The sequence below is a fragment of the Homo sapiens genome, chromosome 1 (genome assembly GCF_000001405.40).
Source record: "Homo sapiens chromosome 1, GRCh38.p14 Primary Assembly".
Classification (NCBI taxonomy): Eukaryota; Metazoa; Chordata; class Mammalia; order Primates; family Hominidae; genus Homo; species Homo sapiens.
Genome location: NC_000001.11, coordinates 41,785,541 through 41,808,425, shown reverse-complemented (window position 1 = coordinate 41,808,425; position 22,885 = coordinate 41,785,541). Strand labels below are relative to the sequence as shown.

General features: G+C 46.6%; 1 protein-coding gene across 2 annotated transcripts in view, besides 5 other annotated features; it reads left to right on the top strand.

Moving 5' to 3' along the window:
* The window catches only part of HIVEP3 (HIVEP zinc finger 3), a 529,570-nt gene that overhangs the window by 227,509 nt on the left and 279,176 nt on the right, over positions 1-22,885 (top strand). The gene's annotated exons all lie outside the window — the stretch shown is intronic.
* Positions 1,871-1,920: an enhancer, noted in NCBI's record as "active region_888". NCBI's record gives its function as "activates an Ori minimal core promoter by ATAC-STARR-seq in GM12878 lymphoblastoid cells {active_cell/tissue: GM12878}" and the evidence as "EXISTENCE:reporter gene assay evidence [ECO:0000049][PMID:35858748]".
* Positions 2,261-2,330: an enhancer, noted in NCBI's record as "active region_887". NCBI's record gives its function as "activates an Ori minimal core promoter by ATAC-STARR-seq in GM12878 lymphoblastoid cells {active_cell/tissue: GM12878}" and the evidence as "EXISTENCE:reporter gene assay evidence [ECO:0000049][PMID:35858748]".
* Positions 2,341-2,420: an enhancer, noted in NCBI's record as "active region_886". NCBI's record gives its function as "activates an Ori minimal core promoter by ATAC-STARR-seq in GM12878 lymphoblastoid cells {active_cell/tissue: GM12878}" and the evidence as "EXISTENCE:reporter gene assay evidence [ECO:0000049][PMID:35858748]".
* Positions 3,881-3,940: an enhancer, noted in NCBI's record as "active region_885". NCBI's record gives its function as "activates an Ori minimal core promoter by ATAC-STARR-seq in GM12878 lymphoblastoid cells {active_cell/tissue: GM12878}" and the evidence as "EXISTENCE:reporter gene assay evidence [ECO:0000049][PMID:35858748]".
* Positions 8,437-8,496: an enhancer, noted in NCBI's record as "active region_884". NCBI's record gives its function as "activates an Ori minimal core promoter by ATAC-STARR-seq in GM12878 lymphoblastoid cells {active_cell/tissue: GM12878}" and the evidence as "EXISTENCE:reporter gene assay evidence [ECO:0000049][PMID:35858748]".

Below are 22,885 nucleotides of genomic sequence, written 5' to 3'. Positions count from 1 at the left end.
AATTTCTTTACAAAGGCCAGGCTCAGGTAGGGGAACTCAATAGAAGGAGGAGAGGACACAGCCCTGCTCTGGAGATGCCTGCAGCCTAGTGGAGAGGATGAACTGGACCTTCTGGGGAGCAGGAAAGGCATTTTGTGGTCTTTGGGGCAACCCAGCTGAGTGGTCAGGAGAGCATGCCCTCTGGAGCCTCAGGTTCAAGTCCAGCCCCACCCCTTGTAGAGGTGTGTGCCTTGGGCAAGTGAGTCAACCTCTTTGGGCCTAGTTCTTGATCTCTACCAAATGGGGGTAGTAATCTTACTTTATAGGGTTGTTGTGAAGATTAAATGGGGGTAGTGTTTATGAAGTGCTTAGGACAATGTCTAGCCCATAGTGGATGCCCTGTTAGTGGTTGATAATATTATCAGATTTGTGACTCTAATTTTCTGGAAATAGCAGTGACTTCTGGGGTCCAAGTTATAAGGAAAGTCAGCATGGGCTGCTGAGTGCCTCCTTCACAGCCTCCTCCTTGGCTGGAGCCTCCTGATGCCTTCCCCCTGCCCCCCATCATGACTACACACCTTGGTGCCTTTGCCCTGATCTTTGTCCCCTTGACTTCCTGACCTATTCCCATGCATGTGCTGTTCAGATCCAGGGCAAGCATCACAACCGTCATGAAATGCTTCCCCAGATGGGGTTAATTGGCCCTTCTCTTGACCTCCCAGAGCATCTTTCACCCAACAGCATTGGCCCTTTCCACGCTGTGCTATGGAGATCTGTTTCCTTGTGACTCTGTCATCAGCCCCAGAGACACGCAGGCCTGCGTGTGCATTCTGGCTCACACCTTGCTGGAGGTGACAGGCTGGGAAAATCGCCTCCCATTTCTGCCCTGTCACTGCTTATCGCTACACATTGGAACAACTGCCTGGCAGGATTCTGTAGGGATCCTGTGTCTGCCCTGTAATTCAGTCTCCATACAGGTCCCTCCTTCCCTCACTCCCTCTGTCTCTCTCTCTGTACCTGGCAGGGTCTGGCACTCCAGACAGGTGAAGTATGCTGGTTTCTGATTTCCCTTCCACTCTTCTGTCGTCTGGGGTCCCAGGATCTACCTCAAGGCCTAACAGATGACAGGGTCATATGTTTGCACTTCCCTTCATCGTCTTCTGCCCCTCCTGTCCTAGCTTCATTCTTGAGCCCTGGCTAACACCATGGGGGCCCTCCCCGTGAGGGTGAGGAGGGGGCATGCCGGCCCTGCAGCAGCATGGCAAAGTTCTGGGAGCTGGGAGCTGAGCTCAGCCACAGGAGAAGACTAAATGCGCTCTACTTTTAGTTTTGAAACCTGTCAATGAGCGATATCCCTCCCACATCAGAGCACAGGAAAGTAGCGGGGGCAGAGAGTAGGAGGAGAGCCGTAGGTGGGCTGGGCGGGGAGGAAGGGAGGAAACTGCACCCTGTGGCCCCCACTGCTTACTCGATGACCCAGTGACCTAATGATGACTCATCCCATCCTCCTGAAGGTGTAGGGGCTGTGTGGGTGGGGCGTGGGGTGAGGGCAAGGGGTGGCGAGCACATCATACTCTCAGTCCTGTCGTCTTGACCTCTCTTGGGTAAAGCAGGGAAGATGTTGAGCTAGGAGCCCCCTACCCTGTGGAGTCGTCCTGAGATGCCCCTTCCCTCTGGAGTCCCAGGTGAGCCTGAGTGGTCCCGCTGGCCCCGGCCCTGCGCCTTCCAAGGCCTCCTTGCCCACTGGAGTGCCACAGAGGGGAAGCACAGTTTCCCCCTTCCTGCTCAGCTTTTACTCATCATGGTGCTGGGACGGAGCCACCTGCGCTGGCCCTCGCCATGTGCCGGGTGGAGATCAGTGCTTCTCATTCTAGTGACAACCTTCAGAGGCAGGTGAAATGCATCCATGCTCTTCTTACCCCCATTCACACATAAGAAATGGAGGCTTATGGAGGTGAAGTTGTCTTCCCAAGGTCCAGAAGAGTGTAAGTGGCATAGCAGGGGCTCCATGCCGGGGCTGGGCCTTCAATCTGTCAACCACTGTGACATGCTTCAGAGGGGGTGAAGGGAGAGGGCAGGGGACCACACCCAGGAAATCTTTGAATCACCTATTCCCCTACCATGCCCACGCTGTGTAGTCAGGTTGATCCGTGGCTGGGTCTCCTAAGGTTATGTCATCCAAGGCTGTCAACAGGAAGAGAGGGGATGATAAGGGGGCAGCCCTGGGGGGTGGCTGCTGGTGCAGGCTGAGAGGGGCCTTGGTGGCAGAGTGAGGGTGTTTGTCTGGAGAGCAGAGGGGAGTCCCTGGAACATTCAGGAAGGAAGGCAGAGGGCAGGCTCTGGGGGCCTCATCTGGCAAGGAGGACAAAGAGAACTGACATTTGAAGATCCCTTCTGTGCCTCAGCTGGTACTGCTTCTACCATTGTGATTTACTCAACCTGTGCTTACTGATCTCAACCACGTACCAGACACGGGAGGGAGTGGGGGGAATCAGGCTCAGGACCTGGGTGCATGAGCTTTACAGAGGAGATGTGTGTGCGTGCACGTGTACACACACACACAGAACACAAGGCGTAAGGTGGCCTGAGAGACACAAATCAGACCCCCAAAAGAGGTGCTCTCCATCAGGATGGAAGGGCTGCTTTTGTGAAGAGGTGGGTCAGAAATCTTTCTCCTTCCCGTCCATTCATAGCTTATGCCTTATTCCCTTCTCTCTGGCTCTTGTTCTCATTTTAAAATGGAAGAACACAAGGTCTACAAAGAGGACTCCAGCTCTTGGTCACGTATCCTCTTGCCTGGGATGCAGTGATTTATTCAACATTATCCCTGTGCCAGCTTCGTCCTCACTGCAACCCTAAGAGGTGGTGTCATTATCATCTCCCACGCACACGCATGTAAACGAGGGGCAGAGGGAGAGCCCCCAGCTTGCCCAAGGCCATTTGAACCCAGACCCTAGCAGCCTCTGTTGTCCTGCCTTCCTCATTCCATGGAAGGGCACGTGTAGATACCAGTGGCCACTTTGATTTAAAGGCCTCAGGCCAAGTGGGTTCTCAATTGGAATATTAAAAATTGTTTCATGTAGTTGATTTTTTATTTTTAAATTTGTCTTGAGAGGGAGTCTTACTCTGTTGCCTAGGCTAGAATGCAGTGGCATAATCTCGGCTCCTGGCAACTTCCGCCTCCTGGGTTCAAGCAATTCTCCTGCCTCAGTCTCCCGAGTAGCTGGGATTATAGGCACGCACCACCAAGCTTGGCTAATTTTTGTATTTTCAGTAGAGATGGGGTTTCCCCATGTTGGCCAGGCTGGTCTCGAACTTCTGACCTCAGGCGATGTGCCCGCCTCAGCCTCCCAAAGTGCTGAGATTACAGGTGTGAGCCACCGCGCCCGGCCATTTCATGTAGTTTAATTGTCTGTACACTGTAAAGCCAGGGTAATGATTGGCCTCATGGGTCATGTGCACTTGCCTACCGGGAAAGTAGGCTTTGTTTTCTCCTAGAAGCTTCTTGCAGAATTAGCTCTTGTCTTCTGAGTATATATTTTTTTTCCTGTAACTACTTACCAGGATTTAAAAATGTGTGTATACACAGTGGGTGAGGGAGTGAGGATAGGAGATGCTCTAAAACAATCTAGCATGTGAGTAACTCCTCTAATCCACTTGCTCTGACCAGCCTATTGGAGGGTCAGCATGAGTCTGCCACAATTAAATACATGTAGATTTTTCTAGATAGTCGTAGAGGATAAATTGTTATGAATCAAGCCATATTTTAAATGGTTCCAGTGATGCAGATGACTTTGACATCTGCAGTGAATGATTTGATAATCTAAGGAAATCTAAATCCCTTCCCTCTCTCTCCTTTTCTCTCTTTCACATAAAAACTCTTTTTCATGTCTTGGGTGACCTTAGGGAGATAAGCCTTCTGTATCAGTTCTGCCACTCAATAGTACATGACCTTGAATGAGCACCTGGTGGTGGCTAGCTCCAGTTGCTTCAGCTGTAAAATGGGCACAGCCAGCCTTATCTGGCAGGTTTGTCTTGAGGATTAAACAAGCCCGTGTGCCTGCAGCACTGGGCAGATTTTGGCAGAGGGCGGGCTTTTAGCTTTCACACAGGAACCTTCTGTCGGTTGGTGGGGAGAGCCATGAAAACAGTAAAATACAGAACTGTGGGTGAGTGTGAATCCAGGCAGGTACAGGCAGGGGCTGTGGGACCACTGGGGAGGGAAGCCCACCTTTGTGGAGTCGTTAGGCAGAAATCGGAGGTGGGGACATTCGAAGTGGGTTTTACAGAGTAAGTAGGAGCTGTTTGCTCAGTTATTTATGTATACCTCACTTTATTCCAAATAAAGATTTGAGATCATATACATTCTACATTAAGGTAAAATAAATTTAATAAAGAAATAATATGCAAGGGAAAATAAGAGGAGAAACTAAAATAAAGCCATGGACAGGTTAGGACATAAACCTGCTAGAGGTGATGAACAGGTTTGGCACTGTGCTTCCTAACAATGAAGACAAAAAGGGAACATAATCGATAGGCGGTTCTTAGTCATCATGTCCAGAGGATTAAAAATGCACCCAGTGCCCAGGATGTGCACAGCTTTCCCTGGGGCTAAGACCTAAGATACATTTTCCCCGTGATCCCTCAACAAGGGGAGTTTGTGTGACATAGTCCTTAGCAACATTGCTGTTCTAACCATGTCATTCCAGTATGATTGCTTCTGAGGAGAGTGTACCAGGCAAGGAACACTGTTCTTGGCAGAGGGGACAGCATGAGTCCAGCTTCACGTGGAGGGAATGTCTGCAGGCCTATTGTCAGTGTGGCTCTTGGACCATGTGGCCCAGTGGGGCCTCTGGGTACCTATGGAAGCAGTTTTGGGGTGAGTGGCATGGCACCAGGTGAGGGGCCACAGGAAAAGCAATGCTGGGGTGTGGAAGACTCACTTTGCAGACATGTCAGGGCCAATCCTGTTAGGACATGACAGGAATCAAGGCTTCTGTGGCCCTTGCAGTTGGGGTCATTAGTAGCTGGATCAGAGACTGAGAAGGTGGGGCCTTGGCAGTGCAGGAAGCATGATTGGCTGGGCTGCCTGCTGGTCTTGGGCCCCAGAGGCTGGTCACCTTTATAAAGACATTGCAAGACTTTTTCGCCTGTGAAATTTAAAGCAACAATAACAACACATACTCCGCAGCCTGTCAGGAAGCCATGTGAGAAAGCTGAGCTGCCCCACTGTCAGAGCCTCATATTTTGGGGTTTTTGTCTGTTCTATTTTTGAGGCTGGTAAACTGGTTTCCTGTTTGTTGCAAAATGGGTGGTTGTTGCTGTCTGTGCCTGCCTTGGCTTTGGCCAGGCCTGGAGGGAGGTGGCCTCACCAGCCTAGGCCCATCCTTCTGCCTTGGGCCAGTTCCCTTCTGTACAAATGCCAAAGAGGAACCCAGCATTGCCAGGGGCAGGGAGTGGGGGCACCCTGCCAGCTGCTTCCTAGGGTTTCTGAGCGTGTTTGAAGTCATCATACTCACTTTGGCAATGCCTCTCTCTGGGAGGACTAGCTTCATGTCACTAAAAGTGGACACATTTTATACTCAGAGGTCAAATTAGCAACTCAGTAAGAGCAGGGGGATGGGACTGGGAAGAAAGAACCATCTGTCATTGTAAGGACAGAAGGGAGGAAGAGAGAAAAACCCATGTTAATTGATACTTGCTATGTGACTGTCATTTTCACAACTTGTATCTCATTTAATTGTTACATGTCATTCCCATTTTACAGGTAAGAAGCCTGAGGCTCAGAAACAGTAAGTCGACTAGAATCATTTGCTCAGGATGTTGGCACTTTGGCAATGCCTTGGAGAGCAAGTTCAGCATTCCTCTCCTATTCCCACCCTCCATCACCTTTTTATTGAAGATGAAAGCCAAAAAAAGAAAAAAGCTTGGGGCCAGGTGCAATGGTTCATGCCAGTAATCCCAGCATTTTAGGAGGCTGAGGTAGGAGGACTGCTTGAGCCCAGGAGTTTGAGACTAGCCTGGGCAATATCAGGAGACCCCCATCTCTATGAAAAATAAAAAGTTAGCCAGGTGTGGTGACACATGCCTGTGGCCCCAACTACTCGGGAGGCTGAGTCGGGAGGATCTCTTGAGCCCAGGAAGTTGAGACTGCAGTGAGCTGAGATGGCGCCACTGCACACCAGCCTGAGCAACAGAGCAAGACTCTGTCTCCAAAAACAAAAACAAAAAGCTTGGAAAAACTCCCAAAGCTAGGTAGTAGCTGAGTCTGAAAGTTACTTAACTAGTGGTTTCTAGTCTACTGCTTTTCCAAACTGCCTTAGATGCTTTCTAAACTGGCAGGGACATGATACCAGTCCAGCATTGAGCAGAGTTTGAACTTGTGGCTAGGCAAGCCAGGCCCAGCCGCCATGGCATTTACATTTGGACACCTTGCTTCTCTCCCAGAGCAGCTGGATAGTGGTGTCCCAGTAGGACCTGTGGGCCAAGGGTATGCCTCTCCCCTGCCCCCCACTCCTTGACATACCAGCTTCAGATCCTGCAATTCCCTCATTGTCTTTTGGGGTCAAAGCAACGAAGGCCCTTCTAAAAGCATGGGTCTGTTTCATTGGCTGATTATTTCCTCTCATCAGTGGTTTTTGGTGGATTCAACCTGCTCCTGGACCCCTAGGGGCATTTTTTTTTTATCTTATTTTATTTTTTTCAGATGGAGTCTCACTCTGTGCCCCAGGCCGGAGTGCAGTGGCGAGATCTCGGCTCACTGCAAGCTCCGCCTCCCGGGTTCACACATTCTCCTGCCTCAGCCTCCCGAGTAGCTGGGACTACAGGCGCATGCTGCCATGCCCAGCTGATTCCCTAGGGGCATTATTATAAGGAGAACTGATATCTATTTTCACATGTGTATTTTCTCAATCAACAGATGCTAAAAGTATCAGTAATTTCTTGTAAGAGTCTTAAAATTACCAAGGCTGGAACTACTACCTGGGGGGCATTCTCAGGTCTTAGTAGCTCTTCTCAAATGATTAGTATTCCCAATTAACTCAACCTAGGGCTGGGTGCAGGAGGGAGTAGAGAGATAAGAAAACCCATCAGCCTAGGTGGCATGGCCTTGAGGAACCTTGGAAAGGGAAGAAGGGAGACCAGATTGAAGGGAGGAATTACCTGGGGCAAGGGAGGGGGATGTTGCTCTTATGCTATCCCTTTGCTACTCCCTCAACCTTAATAATATCTTCACTTAATCTCTTCCTGCAGGGACCTCTCTTCCTTCCAGGCTCAGCACAGAGGGTCCTTCAGCAAAAAGCCTTGCATCTTCTTCTTTTCTGGGCCCTAATAAGCCCACGGTTACACTGCCTGTCTTCTGACCTCCCTTCATCGTACCTGCTTTTAAGTCCTTTGTGACTTTATTTAACTCCACTTAGTAATTGTAGCTCCTTGTGGGTAAAAGATAGCATTAATTGTAGTTTGTTCTCTGCACAGTCATGGTTCAGGGCCAGATAATGTAGACGAAAGGGAGGGAGGGAGTTTAGGTAGGCAGGTAACGAATTCCTTCCTTTGTCTCAGGGTAATAGGCCCTGTCTGGAACATTATGGGAGAAGCAGGAAGGGCATATCCTAGCCCATCTCTATGTGGGAGGCATCTGATCACTTGCATTTCTGATACCCTTGGTACTTTGCATATATAGTGAAAGGGGCACCTGCCTTGCTCTTGCATTTTCTATAGCAAGGGGACTTCCCACATCCTCTATCACTGGACACATTTGAGTTCCCTGCTGGCTTCTGAGCCTTCCCTTCTGTTTCATTATCTATTGCTGGCTTAACAGACTACACTCAAACTCTGTAGCTTAAAATCATGATTTATTATTTCTCACAATTCTGGCTGGGTGGTTCTCTGCTGGTCTTGGCTGGGCTCACTCCTGCAGCTGCATTCAGCTGGTGGTGGGGCTGAGCTGGGAGGTCCAAGAGAGCCTCCCTCACATCGAGGGGCCTGGTGCCAGCTCTTGGCTGGAGCAGCCTGGTTCTCTGCATGACCTCTTGTCCTCCAGTGGGCCAGACCCAGCTCCTCCATGGCATGGCAGGCTCAGGACTCCAGGAATGCGGAAGCAAGCCTGCCATGCCTCTTAAGGCAGAGGCCAGAACTGGTGCAGTATCCCTTCTGCCACATCCTTTGGACCAAAGGAAAAATCAAGCCCAGCCAGATTCAGGGGAGGGAGAAATAGACTCCACCCCTGATGAAAGGAGGGGCAAAGTCAGATTGCAAAGGGCCTGGGACAGTTTAGCAATAGTTTACTATATCCTCTTTCATTTACTTTGAAAGATAAAAATCCTCCTTTTGGAAACCTTCGTGAAATGGCTTCTAAGGAAGCATTCTGAACGTGGCATGGTCAGGAAGTTCAGGAATTGATGCTCTTGTCCCTGCCTGCCCCAAAGCCCAGGAAGAGGCCATTTGCAGAGTAGAGTTGGGTAAGGCTGCTCCTAGGGATGTGGGTACCACCTTTCTGATTGGCCTGAGTAATGCTGTCTCTCTGGATCTGAGTCAGCATAGTGTGCAGCTTCTCAGGCACCAGGCAGATCCTGCTGCATTTTTCCCTGGGGCCCTGTGAACATGATTCCCCCTATGAAAAGAGACCTGTATGCTTGGGGTTGGGGGGAAGGGGGGGTGCCATTTTTAACATGCATTTTTTGGACTAAAAGTGTTTTAAAACTCTTCTTTCTGAGTGTAGAATTTAGGATTTTTTTGATCTCATGCAACTAAGAAACTCATTCTTGGTAACTTTTTTTAAAAAAAGAGGAAATGTATTAAAGGGAGATGGGAATCTAATGGGATTGATAGGAGCTGAAGAATTAGGCCAGGAGAGAGCAAGAAGCAAGACGATTTACAGGCGAGAAACACATTTATAGTCTGGGGAAGTGCTGATAAGCATAAAGCTAGCACTGCAGGAACATTGGGGCTGGTGTGACTTTGTCAGCCTGAGGGAGCTGGGGACATTTCAAAGAGTTGGCAGTGTTGAACTCAGAGGACAGCAGGGAACAGCATTCTAGGCTGGTGGAATAGCATATGCAAAGGCACTGAAGTTTGAAATAAGACAGCATGTTTAAGGAACCACAAACAGTTCTAGGGCGAATGTCAGAGGTATAAGAGAGAGGTGAAAAATGATCCTGGGGAGGGAGGCAGACAGCAGACAATGGAAGGGCTCACATGCCTACTGAGGAGTTAGGATTATATTTTAGAGGGTGGGGTTTCCCAAACTGAGTTCCTAGAACCTAGTGGCCTGAGAGGCATTAACAGATGTTCTTTGAATAAAAGATTTCATGACTAAATAAGTTGAGGAAATACATATATTATTTTGTGTTGTATTTCCCTCTTGGAAGATCATCAGGATATTAAAGGTTCTGAGAAGTTCTGCAGTAAAGAAAAGGAGGGAGGAGACAAGTCAAGAGGCTGAAGTGATGCTCCAGGTGAGAGATGCTAAGTGCTGTCTGTCCGTGGGGTTAGAAAGGGAGGAATTTCTTCATGTCAACATTGGGGCAGACATAACCCAACCCTACATGATATTACAAGAGTCAAGCACTTTAATAATTTTGAAGGAGCCCCATCAGAAGCAGGGGTCTGGGTTGTAAATCCACTAGAAAGGAAGGTAGCTCATGTGGAAAGTGAGCTCTATGACAAAATGCTGATTTTTTTTCTTCAATAAACATTTATTGAATGGACCAAAGTGATTTAACAAATGCAAACACACAATAGATTATTTAACAAAGCAAAGACAATAAAAATAAAACATTAAGAGTGTAGGTGCAAAAATACATTTTTTAATTGGGGAGAAAAAAAAGGCAGCAGAAGAGAACCAGCTACCCAGAGGTTTTAAAATTATTTTTGGAGAAAAGACCAAGCTTGATTTTATTATTCTGTTGTATCTTTGTTGGTATACTTCTTCAGGGGTTTCACTGACAGCACAGCCTGGTGTGGCATCAGCCTATGGCTTTATGTTCACTTCAGTATGAATACAGAAAGCAGACAAATTTGAGGCTTGGCATCAGTGCAAAGGGACTTGTAATATTCCCTCCAGGTATGGTTAGGAACTCAATGGTGCTGACAAGGGACCACGATTTGGATTTTGGAATCCCTATTGGAAAAGAGTGTTTCTCTCTTTTTTTTTTTTTAATTATACTTTAAGTTCTAGGGTACATGTGCACAATGTGCAGGTTTGTTACATATGTATACATGTGCCATGTTGGTGTGCTGCACCCATTAACTCGTCATTTACATTAGGTATATCTCCTAATGCTATCCCTCCCCACTCCCCGCACCCCACGACAGGCCCCGGTATGTGATGTTCCCCTTCCTGTGTCCAAGTGTTCTCATTGTTCAATTCCCACCTATGAGTGAGAACATGCAGTGTTTGGTTTTTTGTCCTGTAATAGTTTGCTGAGAATGATGGTTTTTTGTTTTTGTTTTCGTTTTTGTTTTTTTTTAGATGGAGTCTTGCTCTGTTGCCAGGCTAGAGTACCATGGTGCGATCTCGGCTCACTGCAACCTCTGCCACCTGAGTTCAAGTGATTCCCCTGCCTTAGCCTCCAGAGTAGCTGGGACTACAGGCACCATGCCTGGCTAATTTTTTATATTTTAGTAGAGACGGGGTTTCACCATGTTGGCCAGGATGGTCTTGATCTCCTGACCTTATGATCCGCCTGCCTTGGCCTCCCAAAGTGCTGGAATTACAGGCATGAGCCACCGTGCCTGACCTAATTTTTTAAAACAAATTCAAGTATTTCTAGATTTGTTTTCATGAGAAGCCCTCAGTTCCCTTTGCTTTTGCTGAATATGCTAGCTTTTCCGGACTTGGGACTTTTGCTGTCGTGGTGGAACGTCTGTGCCTTCTTGGTTCTAGAAGTACAAAATATTTCCCCTCCTCCTACCAGAAATTCTCCATCATTTTTTTTTAAATAAGAAGAAGCATGTAATTTAAAAGCCGTCTTTCCTCCCTCCTCTCAGAAGGAGGGAAGGGAATAGTTTCCTGGAGGAATTCATCTTAGGCAGAGAAACAGAATTTAAGCCAGGACTGCTGGGGTGGAGGCTTGTAGCCTGAAGCTCACATACTGTGCTCTGCTCTCTGTGAGGCTTCAAACCCTGCAACCTAAGGTCTTCAGCACAGATAATGAGGGCTCAGGGGAGCAACCATAGCTGGGCCCTGGTTGAAAATGAGCAGGAGCTTCCTGGAGCATAAGCTCCTTAGCTTCATGCTGGACTGGGAGACGTGTTCAGCCAGGTGTGGGACCTGGGAATGGACCCTCCATCTTCCTTGATGGTGGACACTCCACATTTCTGCAAAGACACCTTGAGGAGGCCCTTCACGGAGGATGCCAGGGAGGGAGAACTCTGAGTGAGAAAGAAAGGGGCTCATTTGACAGGGACTTTTTTTGCCATGGCCATCACACTCACACTAGGGAAAAAAGGGAGAGGAAGACTTTTTCCACCAGTTTCACAATGTAGCTTCTGGATCAGCAGGAGAGAGAAAAGAAAGGACAGAAACTAGTGCCTGTTGAACACCTACTTTATGGCAGGAACTTGAAGCTTGCATGGGTTCAAGTTCATCCACACGAGCACAGTGCTCCTCAGTGCCAGCCTGTGAAGTACTTACTGATAATAATTCTAGGGAGAAGGATGGTATATGCTATTGTGTTTTTTTAAAAAATCTAATTGTTTTCTTTTAGTAAGTATAAAATAACATGTTTATTGTAGAAAATCTAGAAAATACAGAGAAGTACCAAGAATAAAATAAAAAATGCTGATGCCTGGCAAGGTAAATTACCTGCTCAAGATAATGATGGACCGTGGATTTGAACTAGAGAGGGGCCCTGGCATGTGCCAAACTCCTCTCCTTACCCACTCATTCACTCAGCCAACATGAATCGAGTGCCTTCTGTAATCACAGAATACCAGATCTATGCAGCATCTAATTTAACCCCTCATTTTACGGAAAAAGAATCGACCAGGAGGTAGTTAGTGGCAGGGCTGGGATTTGAACTCTGGGCAAGGCTGCCTTATTCTTTGTCCTCATATAGTTCTCTGTCCTCTGTTGCTTTCTCCAGGCCCAGAGGAACAGAGCTGGAGCCATCCTGGGGCTGTCGTGTGGTCCCGGCAGATGGCCGTGGGATCAGTCATAGCCAATCAATGCTCTACTTGATTTAATTTTTGCTCAGAATTGGGTGGGAAATGGAGATTCCAGACAGTATTCAGAGGTGCTTTAGAGGTTTAACATTTTTGCCCTAGAAAGGCTCGAATGAACTCTATAGTGCTGGATTAGAGTCAAAAATATCATGTATTTTTAATATACGTACAGATAGAAGTATACAGAAGTAGAGATATGCATGGATTAGTATACACACATATATTTTCCAGTTCTGTCCGCTGAAAGAGCCTAGAACCAATAATACCCTAGTAGAAATGGGCACACTCACTGCCCAGATCTTAGTCTCTAAAGACCATTCTCTAGTAAAAAGAACCAGAACTCCTTGGAGAAATGACTGATTCCAGGCCTGGGCAGGGAAAAACAAAAAGCAAACACACAAAAAAATGAGCCTAAAACATTTTGTAGTTCCAGAAAGTAAGGAAGTGTTTAAAAACAAAAAACAAAGCAAGACAAAAAAAGATGGTAGGATGTCTGAAGGACCCAGGAGCCAACCAGAAAGAGCTCTCAACAGCCAAAACTAGAACAATTTGAGCACCGAAATAAATAATGATAGTATTGAACTATAACCCAAAGAATCTGACCACATTTGTTGTAAATAAATAATTGAATAAATAAATAAATAAGGGAAGAAAGTGCAAATCTTGTTTACAGGAGAATTCTAGATATATACTACTCCCCTTCCAGCAGATGGAGCTTAAATTCCCTCCGCTGGAGTGTGGGCTAGACTTAGTGACTCACTTCCAAATAATAGAGTATGGCAAGGAAAAAATAGTAACTTCACAGTTAATAAACCTGGCGGACATCACCTTAACCAAGTGGTCAAGGTTAACATCACCAGTAATGCACCTTGTTGGTATCACGTGACCTCAGAAATGGAGAAAAGGGCATTTCACTTCTGTGACATTCCTCCAAAAACCCACAGCCCCTGTTTAATCACGAGAAAACATAAGACAAATCCAAATTGAGGGACATCATACAAAATACTGTACCAGGACTCTTCAAAAATATCATGATCATGAAAAGGAAAGGCTAAAATCCATCACTGACCAGAGGACAGTTAAGGAGATGTGACATCTAAATGCAATGTCAGATCCTGGATTAGATACTGGAAGACAAAAAGGACAGTCAAGAAAACATTGGTGAAATCCAAATAAAGTCTAGAGTTTAGTTCATTGTATTGTACCAGTGTTAATTTCTTAGTTTACCTGGGCGTGGTAGCACATGACTATATAGTCTTAGGTCCATTTGAGGTTATAGTAAGCTATGATTGTGCCACTACATTCCAGCCTGGGCAACAGAGCAAGACCCTGTCTCTAAATAAATAAATAAATTTCTAGTTTTGAGAACTGTGCCATGGTTATGGAGAATGTTAACATTAGATGAAATTGTTTGAAGGGTATATGGAAACTCTGCACTATCTTTGCAATTTTCCTGTAATTCTAAGATTATTGCAAAATTAAAAGTTAAAAAAATTCTTCCCCAGCAATGGACAAAATAAATATAAAATAGAGAAAGAAATTCAAAAAGCCTAATAAACATGGGAAAAGTTTAGTTTGCCTAGTAATAAGAAAGGCAAGTTACAATAATGAGATAACCATTTTTACCTATCAAAATGGCAGTTTTTAAAAATAAAAACCAAATACTTAGGGTTTTTTTGTTTTTTGTTTGTTTGTTTGTTTGTTAGGGTGTGAGGACCCAGGCATGGTAAACAACCACTGTTAAGAGCATAAATTGCTTCAAATATCCAAAGGGCATTTTGGCAGTATAAAAGCAAATAGTTCTACATTTTTACCTATAAGTTCCCCTTTCAAGGATTTATACTAGTAAAATAATCACTGATATGGATAAGGATCTACTATGGTTTGGCTCTGTGTTCCCACTCAAACTCACCTTGAATTTTAATAATTCCCACGTGTCAAGGGTGGGGCCAGGTGGAGATAATTGAATCATGGGGGCATTTTCCCCCCTACTGTCATTGTGATAGTGAATAAGTCTCTCGAAATCTGGTGGTTTTATAGATGGGAGTTCCCCTGCACAAACTCTCTTGCCTGCTACCATGTAAGCCGTCCCATTGCTCTTCCTACGTCTTCCACCATGATTGTGAGGCATCCCCAGCCATGTGGAACTAAGTCCATTAAAACTCTTTCCTTTATAAATTACCCAGTCTCGGGTATGTCTTTATTAGCAGCATGAGAACTGACTAATACAGGATTACTTACAAGGATGCTCTTCACTGTATTGTTTGCAATATTAAGAGACTGGAGACAATCTAAATACACAAGAATGTGGGAATTGGTTTTGTAAGTTATGGTGGGTACATCTATGCAGTTATAGATGTGTATATAAAAATATTTCAGTGACAAACACAAAAAATGTTTATAAGAGTATTTTCTGAGTGGTTGGATTACCAGTAATTTTTATTTTCTTCTTTGTGCATTTCTACGTTTTTCAAATTTTCTACACTGATGTTTCTTCCTCAAAGGGCCTATATGCTAAGACCCTTCTGGGCAAGTCACAGTACCTGTGGCTGACATAGTAAAAATTCTGAGTCCTTCCTGCAGGACAGAAATCTTTCTACTTTGGTAAACCAAAATATATTTCCCTGAATATATTTCATCACATGTTTTTTTTCTATTGCTTTATTCCCAGAATTATGCCTAGCATGTAGTAGACATTAAATATATATTTTGTGAATGAATTAATGAATTAATGCTTATGATGTGGTGGGAAAGGCATGGCCCCAGACCCTGGTTCACAGTGCAGCCTCCTCCCACCTGTTCTAATAGCCTCTCCAGTGGATCAGCTTCTCTGCCCCTCTGTGTGTGACCCTAGGAACTTTTGTGGCACCAGTCATAGGAAGCTGAGCTCCAAGAAGCAGGCAGAAGAGTGAGGTAAACCAGATTAAGAGAAGGACCTTTGAAGCAGTCAGAGAACCAGGCTTGAGCCACTTGTAGTGCTCTGCAGATAGAGAGCATCCCTGATGAGACAGGGGGAGCCCAGAAAGTTGGCTCAGGTATCAGGAGCAATTGGCATTCTTGGGGCCAGACTGCATGGATGTTCCAAGAAGCCCCAGAAGGCAGGAGGTCCCAAGTTCCCAGAACCCGAAGTCTTTGTGGTGGCATGTGATTCTGAGTATGTCCACTGCTTCATGGCACACAGTGTATGAGCCTCCCATGACAGGCCACTCCTGTGTGGGCTGATGCTACACTGATCATTAGCTTTCTGGGAGAGTGGCCCAATCGTTCTTCCATATGGTGGCCATTCACATTGGAAAGAGCAGAATCCAGGATCCCCTGAACATTCTCCTCTCCCCACTATTCATCCCATTGCCCTTGAAGGATACAGCTTCCATCCCTGCAGGGCCTTGGGGGAAGCAAGCAATATATTAAAACAGAGCTACTTTAAGTTACTCTGCATTTCTGGCTATGGTTCTGGAAGTTCTCCTTACTTTCTTTATTTTCTGTCCAGTTGTCTTCAGTGTATGCAATGAAGGTGGAGGGAAACTGTCATGTGTATGTTTGAGTGGCCATGGAAGGTGTCCTTTCTCTAAGTCAAGGTCACTGCTAGAGGGAAGGCCCCAGTCAGGGCAGCTCCTGTGAGGCTGCCCCACCTTCCTGCTCACTGGTCTCCTTGCAGCAGCTGTTTCCATGCTCCTTGGCCTTTTGTGGCTGTGGGGAGGGCAGGTTTCAGGATGGTGGCAGCTAAGAGTTTTTCCCTTCACTTTGAGAGCCTCCTGCCTCCAGCTGTGAGTGCCTGCTAAGTATGGCAGGGGAAGGGAAGCAGAGAGGGTCAGATGGTGACAGGCAGCACCACCACGGCTGGAGGAAGTCAGCATCCTAGAGAGAGAAGCTTGAAGGGAGGTTGAGTTGCACATTCATTTACCCACCCAACAGACATTTCCTGGTGCCTCCTAGGGCAGAATATGCTCAAGAGCAAGCCCTTTTGCCCTGCAGGAGCCCCCATCCTCTCCCAAGGACATAGCCCTGCCCCTTGGGCCAGAATCCCAGATGAAACCTTGCCTCAGGGGAACTTTCCCTGAACAACTTTACTTGTGCTCAGTGTTCCCAGGTCCTGGGCTACATGCTGGAGACAAAGATGATTGAAATAGCTCTTGCCTCAAGCAACTCAGGACCTCGGAGGTACAGGTGGATGACTAAATGATGACATGTTAGAGGGTTCATGGTAGATATTTGGGGGCATACGGAGTGGGAGGAATGGTCACTTCTGCCTGGGAGAAGTATAGAGAGTGCATCTGGAAAGGCTTCACGGAGGAGGTGTTCCTTGAGCTGGGTCTGGAAGGCTGAGCAGGTGTTCCCAGGTGGTCTGAGGAGGGATATGGAGGAGAGGGGGAAGGGTGTGATGCCTGAGAAAAGCATGATGCATTGAGGAAACTGAAATTAGATTAGTAGGTGTGGAGTATGGGGTTTGGGGGTGGGGAGGGGAAATGTGTGGCTAGAGAGGTGTGTAGGAGCCAAATCAGGAAATGACTTGTATGTCTGTTATATTGGCTAGGATTCGATTTTCTGCATATAACAACAAACTAAAATAACAGTGGCTTAAACACATAAGAGTTTATCTTCCTCTCTCATAAAAGAACCAAAGGGAGCCAGTCTAGCCTTGGTATATGGTAGCACCACAATATCAGCATTCCCAGGCAACTTCTCTCTTTGGCCTCTCCATCCATAGAGCATGATTTTCATTCTGAAGGTGACCTTGTGTCTAAGATGGCTGCTGGAGCACCAGCCATCACATCCATTATATATAAAAAAACTAGAAAAAGGTGGAAAGGCCATGCAGCCATCTGTGCTCCTTTCAATGAGCCTTCTTGGTAGTTCCACCCAGTGATTTTCACTTACATCTTATTGGCCAGGACTTAGTCACCTAAGCTGCAAGGGATGAGTGGAGGTGGGAGTTTGCAAAACAAAATGCTCTGTTTCAGCAAAGTGCTAAGGGGTTAGAAGGCATTTACCCAGCAAAGAAAGGAATGCAGTGTTCCAGGGATAAAAAGCAGCTAGTGCACAAATATGCAGGTGCAAAGGAGCCCAAGCTATTGAAGGAACAGTGAGCGGACCTGACTGGCTTGAGTGTAGACTCGTGTGTGTGTGTGTGTGTGTGTGTGTGTGTGTGTGTGTGTGTGTACACATGTGTGCCTGTGCTGTGGGGAGAGAATTATGGATAACTAAGGATGACTACAGGAGAGGGAATGGGGTTAGATGATGAGAGACTGTGACTGCAGTGGTAGGGAGTTTGGACTTTATTCCACAGGAAAGGGTGAATTGTGCAGAGGCTTTCAGGAGGAAGGTTAATTAGATGTGGGTTTTTGCAAGATCAGTCTATACACCAATGTGGGGAAGAAAATGGTACAGGGGTTGGGAGTCAGTATGGATGCATCTTGTCCATGGGGCCATGAGGGAGCATGGGATATGCTAGGACAAGTGTTAGGGACCAAGGAGATAAAGTTGGCTTGATGGGAAGGGGCCACATTGTTGAGGCCTGCAGATTTGCAGTGGTAAGAAACAGGGAGTGGCTGAAGGTTTTGTAGTCAGAGAGTGATGGGTGAACTCACAGATAGATAAAGAGCTTCCTACGTAAGGATTCTCCCATATCTTTGGCGGGAGGTACTTGCTCTTGCTCTTAGAGGAAGAAGAAAGGAAACTCACATTTAATCCTCACATTCTGTGCACTAGATTTACCACCTCTTATCTCAGTTTGTACATCTGAAAACAGAAGCACAGAGAGATTAAGCAACATTTCCAAGGTTACATGGTGTGTTAATCTGTTTGTATTGCTATAAAGTAATATGCGAGGCTGGGTAATTTATACAGAAAAGCGGTTTATTTGGCTCATGGTTCTGCAGGCTATACAAGAAACATGGTACTAGCACTGGCTACTGGTGAGGGCTTCAGGCTGCTTCCACTCATGGTAGAGGGCAAAGAGGAGCTGGCATGTTCAGAGATCCCATGGTGTGAGAGGGAGCAAGAGAGAGAGGGGAGGTGCCAAGCTCCTTTTGACAACCAGCTCTTGAGGGATAGGTTACCAAGCCATTCATGAGGGATCCACCCCATGATCCAAACACCTCCCACTAGGCCTTACCTCCACCACTGGGATCCAATTTCAGCATGAGATTTGGGGGAATGAACATCCAAATCATAGCACGCAGTTAAGAAGTGGCAGAGCCAGAGAAGCCAGTTCCACCAGCCTCTCTGACCCTGGAGTCAGAAAGTAGCACCTGACCCTGTTTTGTAAAGGAGTTGCTTTTACTCCATGGGATTATCTTGTTTGACATGGCAGAGGATTTGACCTGGGTGTTACGTGTGATCCTGTCTGATGACAAGCTGTCTATGCATAAGCTGCTTTTGTGTGTACTTATTTAAATGTGACCTTGATGAGTCTGTTGAGGGGGCAGAATGACAGGACAGGGAGGACAGGGCATGGGGCAACTGTCTGGTCCCAACCCAGCCGGTGACTACATTGTTGACCAAGGTCTCAGCTCACTACTTCCTGTTTAGAGTTTCCTCCTTATAGAACTAGAGGGCTCAGACTAGATCAATAGCTCCCAAATAGTCTGTGTGCCCCATCTTGGCAATTCATGACACACTAGCCTATCACCTACACTAGTATTTATTTATGTTCTTTAAATATGTTTACATTGATTTGTTTACTTAGCTTTGACCTAAACAATAAGGTCTGCCAAATTATGAGCTTGATTGTAATTTTCCGTAGGTCATTTTAAATTTTCTGTAGGTCATATTAAAATAAACTCATAACCATCACTTCTTAGCATTCTGGCTAAGATCAAGTGTAAAATAAACTCACAGCTGCAAATAAAATGCTAAAATTGGTTTTCATGACAATGGTAGCTCACAAACGTTGAACTCATGCCTTGTACGCATATGAACTCATTTCCCCTCCTCAGTCACTTTGTGAGGCAGATGCTTTATTATCCCCATTTTACAGATGAGGAAACTGAAGCATGAAGTGGTTACATAACATGCCCACAATCATATGGCTACATCCACCTAAAACAGTCTTGTTTTAGGTAAGTGCTCCCCACTTTGGCTCCATCTGAGGTGCCACAATTCTACACCTACCTCCGCTGCTGCAGGTGTGGTCATATGAGCTGTGAGATGAACAGACCAGCCATGACCTTGGTCCAGGGAAGACAGCGGTGTCCAAGGAGGGTGCCTGCAGCTGCTGTGAGGAGCAGGTGAGGAGAGCACAGGGTTGTCCTGACTCACTGGGTACCTAGAGGGACGAGGAGCCAGGGGGCGAGATGGCTGCAGGCTTTCGCTCTCACGTTCCATGGAGCTGGGAAGAACCACAGATAGAAAGGATACAGGGGTGGCAGAGGATGTAGGATTTGGCCTCAGAGGGAAGAAAGCTGGGCTCAGCTACCAAGCAAGTTGAGAAGGAGGAATGAGTTGAGAAGGTCTTGGAGCTGGCTGACATGACCCCTCCTTTCCACGGGGATGTTCCTGGGCACTTATTTGGAGTTTTCCTTATTCCATTAAGCATTCATTCCTAGCAGAAGGATTTACCATTCCCAGCTTTCTTCAAATTTTGCTCTCCTGGATGAGATACAATATGGAGAAATCCACAGGCCAGGGCACTGATTACCTGGACCATGTCCCAGGACTGCTAGCAGGATGCCTGTGCCTAACCTGTGCTGCTCTGTAGCAAATGGGCTTGCCCGGGTCCCAGAGTGCATCAGAGAGCAGACTCCAGGGTGCTTTGATCCCGGCTGGGAGGGAGAATAGCCTGAGCTCTCTCTCCTGCTCAGGCCTCTCTCTCCTTCCTTCCCTGGGGCTCCTGGCTGCTGACCTTCTACTAGGGGTCATTGGCTGAGTGGTCTTGGGTGGCCACTTCGCCTCTCTGAGCCTATGCTCATCTGGATGCAGCCCAGACTGGCTCCTAGTGATTCTGAGGAGTCCTCTAAGCGGTCTTACAGATGCCCACAAACAGGACCATTAGCCGCAGGGACCATGGGTGTCTGCTCCCCTCCTGCGTTCCTGCACTGCCTCACACTGAGGCACATTGCTGCCCTGGAAGCTGCTGGGAGACGCTGCGCTCCTGTCCTCACTGTCGGGGGGTGGCCACTCCTTGCGGTGGGTTGTCTGGATAGTCTGAAGCCTCCAGTCCTCAGGCCCAGGGCAGTTCTGACTCTGGACAGAGGTGGGAGGCTGGGTAGACAGAGGGTGGCACCGGGTCACCTGAGCCCCAGAGCAGCTTTGCTTGAGCCCAAAGTCACATTAAATCCCTTTGAGGAGTTCCCTTGGCTTCTGTCTCTGACTTCTCTCTCCCCAGGGGCTCAGAACCCACCAGGGGAACCTGGGGACATCCACACCCCCCTCCCCACATATTTCTTTCACTATCTCTGCCCCCATTCCTCACCTAAAATTCCCTCCCCCTTGAAAATTACCTTGTAGGCTGGGGGCAGAGGCTTACGCCTGTAATTGTAGCATCTTAGTAGGTTGAGGCAAGAGGATCGCTTGAGCCCAGAAGTCTGAGACCAGCCTAGGCAACATAGTTTTCTCTATTTTTTCTCTACAAAAAAAAAAAAAAATTTTTTTAATTAGCTGGGCATGGTGCTGCACACCTGTAGTCCCAGCGATTTGGGAGGATCGCTGGAGCTCAGGAGTTTGAGGCTGCAGTGAGCTATGATCATGCCACTGCACTCCAGCCTGGGCAACAGAGCAAAATCCCATTAAAAAAAAAAAAAAAAAAGAAAGAAAGAAAAGGAAAAGAGAAAATCACTTTGCATGTCAATGAAGCCATGTGAAAACTCATCTGCTGTGTGCATGGAAGGGGCGTAAGTATACGTAGGGAGGGGGTATGCCCAGATCGGCATTGTCCAGTATGGTAGTCACTGGAAATGTAACTGGTACAACTGAGGAACTGAACTTTTAGTTTTCATTTACATTTACATTTAAAAGCTAAAGCAGTGAGGAATATGTTTCCATTACAGACAGTTGCACTGTTTGGGAAGTACTGCAGTTCACTTTCACCTTTGCATCCTGTCAGATACTGTTGCGGCGTAGTGCATGCATCAGACACGGGCATTATTTTGGTACCTCATTCATAGTTTTTTATGGTTATTACTCAATAAAATGATAGCATTTTGGAATATTGAGTTAAAGGAAATATAAAAATTATTTTCACCTGTATCTTTTTCCTTTTTTAATGTTGCTACTAGGAAATTACATATGTAGGCCGGGTGTGGTAGCTCACCCCTGTCATCCCAGCACTTTGGAAGGCTGAGGTGGGCGGATCACTTGAGGTCAGGAGTTTGAGACCATCCTGGCCAATATGGTGAAACTCCGTGTCTACTAAAAATACAAAAATTAGCTGGACGTGGTGGTGCGCACCTGTAATCCTAGCTACCGGGGAGTCTGAGGCACAAGAATCGCTTGGACCTGGGAGGAGGAGGTTGCAGTGAACCGAGATCCTGCCACTGTACTCCAGCTTGTGCAACAGAGTGAGACCCCATCTCAAAAAAAAAAAAAAAGAAAGAAAATTACATGTGTAGCTTATATTATACATTTTTTGGACAGTGTTGGCCTAGAACAGGGGTCGGCAAGCTTTCCTGGTAAGAGACCAGGTAGTAGTAAATATTTCAGGCTTTGCTGGCTATACAGTCTCACAACTACTTAATGCAGCCGCTGTAGGGCTGAAGCAGCCAGGGACAGTACATAAATGAATGGGTGTATCTGCGTTGCCATAAAACTTTATTTACAGAAACAGGCAGCATCTCAGATTTGGCTTGTGGGCTGTAGTTTGCAGACTCTTAGTCTAGAGTAATGGCAGCCAACCAGTAATGGACTGTAAAATCAGAAGTGATGAGGAAGAGATGAGCAGCCTCAGGGCTAGGCTGAGAAGTGGGGCAGGCCCTGAGCAGAGGATAGGGTAAGAAAGGCCCTCTAGAAAGATCACAAGACAAGAAACTCATCTCTACTGAGTGCCTGGTGTGTGCCAGGCATTTTTCACATGCTTCACCTCTGTTGACTCCTGTCATCGTCAACAAGCCTGTATTAGGGTGGATGCAAGTATCATTAATGTTCCCATTTTTTAGATGAGAACATTGAGGCAATGTGGGGCCAGGTGACCTGCCTAGGACCACAGTGTAAGCTGAGCCAGGATCCATGCCCAGGCAGCCGGCTGTGACTCTGCATGCAGTGCCACCTCTCGCATGCTGTCTTTTTTTCCCTCACTACATCTCCCAACACCCTTATGAGGTGGGGTTTAGTAACCTAATTTTTTTTTTGAGACAGAGTTTCACTCTTGTTGCCCAGGCTGGAGTGCAATGGCACGGTCTTGGCTCGCTGCAACCTCCCTGCCTCCCGGGTTGAAGCGATTCTTCTTCCTCAGCCTCCTGAGTAACTGGGATTACAGGCACCTGCCACCATGCCCAGCTAATTTTGTATTTTTAGTAGAGATGGGATTTCACCGTGTTGGCCAGGCTGGTCTTGAACTCCTGACCTCAGGTGATCCACCCACCTTGGTCTCCCAAAGTGCTGGGATTACAGGCGTGAGCTAGTGCACCCAGCCCAGAGAAGAATTTTTCTATGTTCATATATAAATTGAGAGGAAATTAGCATCAAAATTTGTATACAGCTTTATATTCTTGGTTTCGTCTCATTTAATATTATCATGGATAATTTCTCACACCAATAAATATTTTCAAAGCCAGACATTTTAGTGACTTCTCAATATTCCATTTTA